A 10,888-nucleotide genomic window follows, 5' to 3' on the forward strand; every position below is an offset into this window, starting at 1 on the left:
CCGGGTTCATGCCATTCTCCTGCCTCAGCCTCCCAACTATCTGGGACTACAGGCACCCGCCACCAGGCCCGGCTAATTTTTGGTATTTTTAGTAGAGACAGGGTTTCACTGTGTTATTCAGGATGGTCTTGATCTCCTGACCTCGTGATCCACCCGTCTCAGCCTCCCAAAGTGCTGGGATTACAGGTGTGAGCCACCGCGCCCAGCCTATTGCCCCGTTTTTACATAGAAAACTAAACTTCCAGCCAAGAGGTTAATAACTTGACAAAGTCACATAATTAGTGAAGGACAGAGCTCAAGTCTATCTGACTCCAGGTTGGTTTTTCACGGCATTAGACTCAGGGATCAATAATCCCCTTATCGGAAAAGGAGCTTTGGAATCCTGAGCAAGAAGAAATTCTTACTGGAGGCCTGCTCTGTGCCGGGTCCTGCACCAGGCTGCAGGAATATAGAGAACAAGATGGCCACTGTCACAGACCAAATAAGACAATTTAAAATTGTAATGAAGGTTCAAAAGAAAAGTGCCACTAAGGGTCCTGGGCAAACTATTCTCCCTCAAGAATTCCCTTTCCAGTCAAGAAAGAAAAGAGCATCAGTAGACCTGAACTGCCTTGCCAGCATACAGATAGCTCACTAGGTGTAGGGTAAATGCACCTAATAGCAATAACTTAAGCATACCCTTAGAATGACCTTGTATGGCAGATGCACCTGCATGTGTGTTCGAGCTAAGGAATCTGGGCAAGGCCAACCCGAAGACTGGTTCCTTGTCTATGAGGAACACCTGAGCCCCCAGCCAGTCCTGTGGAATACAGACTATACCAGGGATTGAGGTCCTAAGTTTTGGGTTAAATGAAGGCTACCAGAGAGAGGTCATTAAGGGGAAGGTGTTAAGTGAAAATGCTGTATAAACTGCATGCTGTCTGCAACCACCTGCAGTTTTCCTATCCAGCACACCACCACTGGAGTGTATGTAAGGAGGATATGTGGTCCAGCCCGCCACCATTAGACTCTCTCCTCTACGCCCCTAATAAAACCCTATGTTGGCTAGGCACAGTGGCTCATGCCTGTAATCTCAACACTTTGGAAGGCCGAGGCTGGTGAATAGCTTGAGCTCAGGAGTTCGACACCAGCCTGGGCAACATGGTGAAACCCCGGCTCTACAAAAAATACAAAAATTAGCCAGGTGTGATGGTGCATGCCTGTGGTCCCAGCTACTCAGGAGGCTGAGGTGGGGTGATCCCTTGAGCCCAACAGGAAGTTGAGGGTACAATGAGCTGTGATCCCACCACTGCACTCCAGCCTGAGCGACAAAGTGAGACCCTGTCTCAAAAAACAAACAAGCCAGGCGCAGTGGCTCACGCCTGTAATCCTAGCAATTTGGGAGGCCAAGGTGGGTGGATCACGAGGTCAGGAGTTCAACCCCAGCCTGACCAAAATGGTGAAACCCCGTCTCTACTAAAAAACTACAAAAATTAGCCAGGCGTAGTGTCAGGCGCCTGTAATCCCAGCTACTCGGGAGGCTGAGGCAGGAGAATCGCTTGAACCCGGGCGGCAGAGGTTGCAGTGAGCCGGGATCATGCCACTGCGCTCCAGCCTGGGCGACAAAGTGAGACTCCATCTCAAACAAACAAACAAACTCATGTCTCATTTGCTGGCTCTGGGTCTCTTCTTTGGTTTCTTGAACCTGATGCCTTCCCTATTGAGGTTAATAGGGATTCAGCGGTAGCGTACTTTGGCCAGGCATGGAGACTCATGCTTGTAATCCCAGTACTTCCAACTCCCGACCTCAGGTGATCCGCCCACCTCAGCCTTCCAAAGTGCTGAGGCGGGCGGATCACCTGAGGTCGGGAGTTGGACACCAGCCTGACCAACATGGAGAAACCCTATCTCTACTAAAAATACAAAATTAGCCGGGCGTGGTGGTACATGCCTGTCCAGCTACTCAGGTGGCTGAGGCAGGAGAATCGCTTGAACCCAGGAGGCAGAGGTTGCAGTGAGCCAAGATAGCATCATTGCACTCCAGCCTTGGCAACAAGAGCAAAACTCCGTCTCAAAAATAGATAAATAAAATAATAAATAAAAATAAAAATAGGGATTCAGCACAACATTGGATTAGGCCTCAGTTTCCTTATCTGTCAAATGAGGAATTCATTCATTTATTCAACAAATATGTACCGAGCCTGCTTTGCCTAGCCCCATGCAGGGCTCTGAAACACGGAATAAAACAGAGGTGGGGTTGGGACCCCTGCCCTGGAAGAGATCAGTCTACCTACATCATAGCTATGAAACAGAGGCCTGTGCAAAAAGAACTGGTGAATTCCCCAATTTATGGGCAGGGTCATCAGGGAAGCCTCAACCACAGAGATGTCATTTGAACTGGGCTTCAAAGGATTCTTATTTGTCCAGCAAAAAGGGCAGCTCTCCAGGCAGTAGGAACGTGTGCAAAGGCAGAAAGGATAAAAGACAGTGGCCTGCAGAACTAGCTGTGATTTGGCACAGCCAGACTAGAAGACAGTGGCAGGAGGCCAGTTTAGGAAGATAGGTAGGGTTCAGACCTAAAGTTTCCAGCTGGAAAACATCATCCTGAGGCCAGTGGAATGCATTGAAAGCCTATGAACACCTGTGCACTTATTTTTATTTTTATAATGAGACAGGCTCTTGCTATGTTGTCCAGGCTGGTCTCCAACTCCTGGGCTCAAATGATCCTCCTGCTTCGGCCTCCCAAAGTGCTAGGATTACAAGCGTGAGCCACCATGCCAGATCAGCACCTGTGCATTTTAGAAGGGTGATTTTACGGGGCCAGCTGGATTAGGAGAGGATGGAAGGAGTTTTCACTGTTCTGTGTAAGCCACCAACATAGGCACCTGGCAAAGGGCACTGAAGGTGAATATACAGAAGAAAGGGATGAGTGGCCAGGCGCGGTGGCTCACGCCTGTAATCCCAGCACTTTGGGAGGCTGAGATGGGCGGATCACAGAGCTCAGGAGTTCAAGACCAACTTCGCCAACATGGCGAAACACTGTCTGTACTAAAAATACAAAAATTAGCCAGGCGTGGTGGTGCAGGCATATAATCCCAGCTACTTGGGAGGCCGAGGCACAAGAATCACTTGAACCTGGGAGGTGGAGGTTGCAGTGACCCGAGATCACACCACTGAACTCCAGCCTGGGCAACAGAGCAAGACTCTGTCTCAAAAGAAAAGGGAGGAAGAAGAAGAAAGAAGAAGGAGGAGGAGGAGGACGAGGAGGAGGAGGAAACAGAGAGAGAGGGAAGGAAGGAAGGAAAGAGAGAAAGAAAGAGGGAGAGAGAGAAGGAAAGAAAGAAGGGAAGGAAAGAAAAGAGAGAGAGGGAGGGAGGAAGGAAGGAAGGAAAGAAAGGAAAGGAAAGAAAAAAGAAAAGAAAAGAAAGGAAGGAAGGGAAGAGAAGGAAGGAAGGGAAGGAAGGAAGGAAAGGGGATAAATCAGATGTTGAGACTGGACAGGCTCTGGAAACTATTTGTATGAGTCAGGGTGGGTGGGACAGGAAGTAGCGAGTATGGGAATCAGGATGCCCATTTTGGATATTGGGTATGTGTTGTTATTTTAGAAGGAAGAGTTTGATTTATATGTGTAGGGATGGATTCATTTATGGGGTTAACTATATCCTTTCTCCTTTCAAGTACAGATGTAAGGCTACATATCAAGACATATGTAATTCATCAGGGTAAAAGTAAGGACATGGCCAGGTACGGTGGCTCACGCCTGTAATCCCAGCACTTTGGGAGGCCAAGGCGGGTGGATCATGAGGTCAGGAGTTTGAGACCAGACTGACCAACATGGTGAAACCCCATCTCTACTAAAAATACAAAAATTAGCCTGGCATGGTGGCGCACGCCTGTAATCCCAACTAACTCAGGAGGCTGAGGCAGGAGAATCGCTTGAACCCGGGAGGTGGAGGTTGCAGTGAGCCAAGATTGCGCCACTGCATTCCAGCCTCGGTGACACAGTGAGACGCCGTCTCAAAAAAAAAAAAAAAAAAAAAAGGTAAGGGCATGATGGAGGGATATAAGAGGAAGCCGGAAGTGGGATCACATCTAAAATACACATTATGGATCTCTGTGTTTGTGCCAGAGGTGGTCCTCTCATTTGGTTCAGAGTTTCTGTGTAGCCAAATAAAAACGATGAATATGGCTAAACATGGTTCACAATATCCACATGATAAAAGCAAACCAGTGGCCAGAAGGAGTCTGCTGTTCCTGAAATAAGGCTTGAAAGACATTTCTCCCCAGGGGTCCTCCTCAAGGGGGCCAGGGTAGTACAGCCGATGATGCCTGGAACATCAGCCCACAGTGAACACACAATGGCCGTGTACGCTCAGTGCAGACCAAAGAACTCACAGCGACATGCTGATCCGTGTGAGCTGTTTACAAGAGGCCTTTTAAAACGAGTGGGTTGAATGATATGATCACTGACTGCCAGTTTAATGCAAAAATCAAATCCAGAGTCTGAAAAGAAATGGGTTAACTTTATTTACAAAGAGTCCCCCATCGAATTTTTTTTTTTTCAAAACGGAACTTGTAGTAAGCAGCAGAAAAGACTCCAAGATTTTGCTCACATACCTGAAGGGCAGATGGTCTCTGCTGCCAGGTAAAACCCAAGGTGTACTCTAACTTTTGTGGAAGATTAGGAGGACTTGAGGAGGAGGAGAATGGAGGAAGCAGGAGGGCAAGAGAGGAGTTGGGTGGGACAGTTTTGCCTTGATGGTGTTTAAAGGTCTGTGTTCCCCCACTAGCCTGGGGGCTTCATGTTGGCAAAGCATATGTCTCCTCCCCATGTGCTCTGCCTGGAGGCAGAGCCTAGCATAGAGAAGATGCTGAGTCGCATTTGTCAGATGAGGGCATGAAAATAGTGGACCCAAACGAGGACATTACAGCTGCATTTTCTTTCTTTCTTTATTTTTGAGACAGAGTTTTGCTCTTGTTGCCCAGGCTGGAGTGCAATGGCACAATCTCAGCTCACTGCAACCTCCGCCTCCCGTTTGCAAGTGATTCTCCTGCCTCAGCCTCCCGAGTAGCTGGGATTACAGGTGCCCACCACCACGTCCAGCTAATTTTTGTATTTTTAGTAGAGACTGGGTTTTGCTATGTTGGATAGGCTGGTCTCGAACTCCTGACCTCAAGTGATCCACCCGCCTCGGCCTCCCAAAGTGCTGAGATTACAGGTGTGAGCCACTGCGCCTGACTTATTATTATTTTTTGAGATAGAGTTTTGCTCTTGTTGCCCAGGCTGGAGTGCAATGGCGCAATCTCAGCTCACTGCAACCTCCACCTCCCAGATTCAAGCGATTCTCCTGTCTCAGCCTCCTGAGTAGCTGGGATTACAGACACCCGCCAGCACGCTTGACTAATTTTTGTACTTTTAGTAGAGATGGGGTTTTGCCATGTTGGCCAGACTAGTCTCAAACTCCTGATATCAGGTGATCCGCCCGCCTCTGCCTCCCAAAGTGCTAGGATTACAGGCATGAGCCACTGTGCCCAGCCTACAGCTGCATTCTCAATGGCTGCCTGCATTGCCCATTATGGACAAAGCAATTATGCCCTCTCTTTGACATAAGTTCATATCCTGATCTTTTGTGCTGTCATTGATCACTGCAAAACTACCCTGCCCAGGTGACAGGATGTTTGGTCCAGAGGGTCAGCTAATATGAGCTTGGGGCGTGAGTGCAGCCTCATGTCCCTGGGGCAGGAGCCTGGGTACACAGCCTTTGGGTCGTGAAGGCCCCTTGCTGTGCTTCTCCACGAGGAGCTGTGGGGGAAATGCCCCACAGAATGGGAGCTGGCTGGGCAGGGAGGTCTGGCAGATCCTGCTTCCGTTCCTGCTGCTGTGTGGCCTAGGCCTGGTGAACTTCTGTGCATCCCTGCTGGGGCTGCAGGCGGAGATGGCAAATCCAGCCTCCCACTGGCTCTCGGTCTCCATGCTGGGCGCCTGCATCCTGTGGTGCAGCAGCCTGCCAGTGGGTGGAGGTCTCATCCTCATCCTGTCCTGGAGACTGTGCATGGAGGTGATGCTGGCTGGCCAGCGGGCCTTGTGGCAGCAGCTGACTGTTGTGCGGATCTGGAACCTACAGCTGTTCATCACCCTGATCCATGGAGCCTGCCGCTGCATCTCACGACTCCTGCAACACCTGTGGTGGGAGGCCGGCCTAGCCGTGTTCTCCATGGCCCATTGGGCCTACTACAGCCTGGTGGGCTTCCGCCACGATAACAGCAAGGTGTTGGAGCTGCTGCTGCAGGCCGTGCTATAGCACATGGCCATGTCCCTGCTGGCCTGCTGCCTGGACAGGCTGTGGGTGGCCATGGGACGGGTGGCCTAGGCCATGCGGGGCTGTGGCCTTCAACCCCTGGAGAGGGCCAGGCTGTGCCGGGCAGCCTCCACAGACCTGGATGCAGTCACCACTATCCTCCCAGCGACCACCATCCCTTTCAGCCAGCACTTCCCCGGACCTGACCTGGCCACCATGAGTAGGCTCTCACCAGCCTCCATGAGCCTGTGCATAGTGGTTGGGGTCAAGGATGCCAGCGAGGGAGAAGAAGGCTGTGGCTATGGGGCCACCAACATATCTCTTAGCACCAGGTTCTGGAGCAGTAGGACAAGCAAGGTGGCCTTGAAATCTTCATCCAAGCAGGCCCTCGCACAGCAGCTCAAGACGACCTGTCTCCTCATCATTTTTCTGTATATCTGTGCCGTGTCTCTCTTCATGCAGAGCTTAAAATAAAGCGATTAACTGTGGGCCGGCCCCCGGTATGTTCCCTGCCTAGCTTTGTCAGGGGGAGATAGAATGGCGACAGATCTGTCCACTTAGGCCTTTACTGGGCTGGTGGGTGGTTCCCAGTATGCAAGACACATGCATACCAGGGGCTGGGCTGGGGGACCTAGTCTCAGCCCTGTCACTACTGTGTATCCTTGCGGAGGTTCCTTTACCCTTCTCAGCCTCAGTTCCCTTTCCTGCAAAATATAGATAATAGGACTCTGAGGAGAGGGGATCTATAAAAAGGTGTCGTTTATGAATTGTAGCATGCTCTTCCCCCTCTAATTACTCGAACAAATAGTGCACAAAACCTTCTTCCTTTTTTTTTTTTTTTTTTTGAGATGGAGTTTCACTTTTGTCACCCAGGCTGGAGTGCAATGGCGCAATCTCAGCTCACCACAACATCTGCCTCCTGGGTTCAAGCGATTCTCCTGCCTCAGCCTCCCAAGTAGCTGGAATTACAGGCATGCACCACCACACCCAGCTAATTTTTGTATTTTTAGTAGAGACGGGGTTTCTCCATGTTGGTCAGGCTGGTCTCCACCTCTCGACCTCAGGTGATCCGCCCACCTCGGCCTCCCAAAGTGCTGGGATTACAGGCGTGAGCCACCACACCCCGCCACCTCTTTTCTATTAAAGGACATAAAAGAAGTCCTGAATAAATGGAGAGACATCACCAGTTCATGGATGGCCTGACATGTCTTTAAAATGTCAGTTGTGGCCAGGCGCAGTGGCTCACACCTGTAATCCCAGGACTTTGGGAGGCCAAGGTAGGCGGATCACCTGAGGTCAGGAGTTTGAGACCAGCCTGGCCAACAAGGCAAAACCCCGTCTCTACTAAAAATATAAAAATTAGCCAGGTGTGGTGCCACACGCCTGTAATCCCAGCTACTCGGGAGGCTGAGGCAGGAGAATTGCTTGAGCCCGGGAGGTGGAGGTTGCAGTGAGCCGAGATTATGCCACTGCACTCCAGCCTGGCCAACAAGGTGAGACTCTGTCTCAAAAAAGTAAATAAATAGGCTAGGCATGGTGGCTCACGCCTGTAATCCCAGCACTTTGGGAGGCCAAGGCGGCAGATCACCTGAGGTCAGGAATTCGAGACCAGCCTGACCAACATGGTGAAACCCCATCTCTACTGAAAACACAAAAATTAGCCAGGCATGGTGGCACACGCCTGTAATCCCAGCTACTCAGGTGGCTGAGGCAGGAGAATTGCTTGAACCCGGAGGTTCAGTGAGCTGAGATCGCACCACTGCACTCCAGCCTGGGCGACAGAGTGAGACTCTGTGTCAAAAATAAATAAATAAATAAATAAATAAATAAATAAATAAATAAAATAAAAATAAAATGTCAGTTGTGGCCAGGTGCGGTGGCTCACGCCTGTAATCCTACCACTTTGGGAGCCTGAGGTGGGTGGATCACCTGAGGTCAGGAGTTCGAGATCAGCCTGGCCAACATGGTGAAACCCTGTCTTTATTAAAAATGCAAAAATTAGCTGGGTGTGGTGGTGGGCACCTGTAATCCCAGCTACTCGGGAGGCTAAGGCAGGGGAATCATTTGAACCCAGGAGGCAGAGGTTGCAGTGAACCGAGATTGTGCCACTGAACTCCAGCCTGGGCAACAAGAGTGAAACTCCATCTCAAAAATAAAATAATAAAATAAAATAAAATAGTCAGTCATCTCCATAGTAATCTTTAAAATCATTAGGATTTCAACCAGAATCCCAAGGGATTTGGGCAAGAGGTGGGGGGATGGGGTGACTCATACATTGATTCTAAAATGTATGTGGAAGGCCAGGCATAGTGGCTCATGCCTGTAATCTCAACACTTTAGGAGGCTGAGGTGGGAGGATCACTTGAGCCCAGAAGTTTGAGACCAGCCTGAGGAACATAGCAAGACCTCATCTCTATTTTTTAAAAATTAGCTGGTCATGGTGCTACATACCTGTAGTCTCAGCTACTCAGGAGGCTGAGGAGAGAGGATCACTTGAGCCCAGGAGTTCAAGGCTGCAGTGAGCCAAGATGGCACCACTGCACTCTAGCCTAAGGCAGAGCAAGACCCTGTCTCAAAAAAAAAAAAGATATGTCCACCTACAACCTGCGAATGGGGGTGGCTGAAATATGAGAATCGCTCAAACCTGGGAAGTAGAGGTTGCAGTGAGCTGAGATCGTGCCACTGCACTCCAGCCTAGGTGACAGAGCGAGACTGTCTTAAAACAAACAAACAAACAAACAAGAGTTCAGTGGAGGAAGGAACTGCAGATGGAGGAACATGCCGAGACCCAGCTCAATGTCCCTCTAGGCCCCTAGTACTGGTGGATTTTAATCAGTGGAATAAAGCGATTTAATCTGTGGTGTAAGAGCCCCCTAGCTGCCGGGTGGAGAACAGATTCAGGGTAGCTGGGATTCTCCATGCTGGCCAGCTTGGTCTCGAACTCCTGACCTCAAGTGATCCACCCGCCTCGGCCTCCCAAAGTGCTGGGATTACACGTGCCTGTAGTCCCAGCTACTTGGGAGGCTGAAGCAGGAGAATTGCTTGAACCCGGGAGACAGAGGTTGCAGCGAGCCAAGATTGCATCATTGCACTGCAGACTGGGGGACAGAGCCAGATTCCATCTCAAAAACAAAAGAAAAAAAAAAGAAAACCACATTCATCACCATCAGAGCTCGTGGGTATCCAGGTGTATTGTCAACGAGCAGTAATATTTTGAAAGAAAAACAGATGTGCTGTCATCCAGGCTTTGGTGTTCCGCTTACAGAGCACAGGCAGAGTAGACGTAGCATAATTCTTAAGGGCCTTCAGATTTTCAGAATTATCAATGAGCAGTTGGCTTCAACTTAAACTCACCAGCTATACCAACTCCTGACAAGAGAGTTAGCCTGTCATTTGAAACTTTGAAGCCAGGAATTGATTTCTCCTCTCTAGCTATGAAAGACTTCCTGGCATTTTCTTTTGATATAAAGCTGTTTCATCTACATTGAAACTCTACTGTTTAATGTAGCCACCTTCATCAACGATCTTAACTAGAACTGGATAACTTGCTGTGGCTTCTCCATGAGCACCTGCTGCTTCACCTTGCACTTTTATGTTATGGAGACAGTTTCTTTCCTTAAACTTCATGAACCAACTTCTGCTAGCTTCTGCTTTTCTTCTGCAGCTTCCTCATCTCTCTCAGCCTTCATAGAATTAAAGAGAGCTAGGGTCTAGGGCCTTGCGCTGGGTTAGTCTTTGTCTTTTTTTTTTTTTTGAGACAGAGTCTCGCTCTGTCACCCAGGCTGGAGTGCAATGACTCGCTACAACCTCTGCCTCCCGGGTTCAAGCAATTCTCCTGCCTCAGCCTCCCGAGTAGCTGGGATTACAGGCACCTACCACTACACCTGGCTAATTTTTTGTATTTTTAGTAGAGATGGGGTTTTGCCATGTTGGCCAGGCTGGTCTCAAACTCCTGACCTCAGGTGATCCTCCCGTCTCGGCCTCCCAAAGTGCTGGGATTAGAGGTGTGAGCCACCACGCCTGGCCTAGTCTTTGGTTTAAGAGAATGTTGTGGCTGGTTTGATCTTCTATCCAGACCCAACTTTCTCCATATCAGCAATAAGCCTGTTTCACTTTCTTATCATTCATGTACTCATTAGAGTGGCACTTTTAATTTCCTTTGAAAGCTTTTCCTTTGCATTCACAACTTGGCTAACTGCATAGTGGAAGAGGCCTAGTTTTCAGCGTATCTCAGTTTTTGACATGCCTTCCTCATTAAGCCTAATCATTTCCAGCTTTTGATTTAAAGCAAGAGACATGTGACACTTCCTTTCACTTGAACACTGAGAGGCCATTGTAGGGTTATTAACTGGCCTAAATCCAGCCTGTCTCGGCTGTTGGCATGCCTTCCTCACTAAGCTTAATCATTGCTAGTTTTTGATTGAAACTGAGAGACAGGACTCTTCCTTTCACTTGAACACTTAGAGGCCATTGAGCAGTTATCAGCTGGCCTAATTTCAGTACTGTTGTATCTCAAAAAATAGGGCTGCCCTAGAGAGGGAAAGAGACAGAGAAATGGTGAGTCAATAGAAGAGTCAGAACACACACATTTATCAATTAAATTCACCATC

At 49.2% G+C, this 10,888-nt stretch overlaps 1 annotated feature.

The window, feature by feature from the left end:
- Positions 5,891 to 6,185: a silencer, noted in NCBI's record as "tiled region #3662; HepG2 Repressive DNase matched - State 13:Ctcf". NCBI's record gives its function as "represses a minimal TATA promoter and a strong SV40 promoter by Sharpr-MPRA in HepG2 cells {active_cell/tissue: HepG2}" and the evidence as "EXISTENCE:reporter gene assay evidence [ECO:0000049][PMID:27701403]".

The sequence above is a fragment of the Homo sapiens genome, chromosome 22, assembly GCF_000001405.40.
Source record: "Homo sapiens chromosome 22, GRCh38.p14 Primary Assembly".
NCBI lineage: Eukaryota > Metazoa > Chordata > Mammalia > Primates > Hominidae > Homo > Homo sapiens.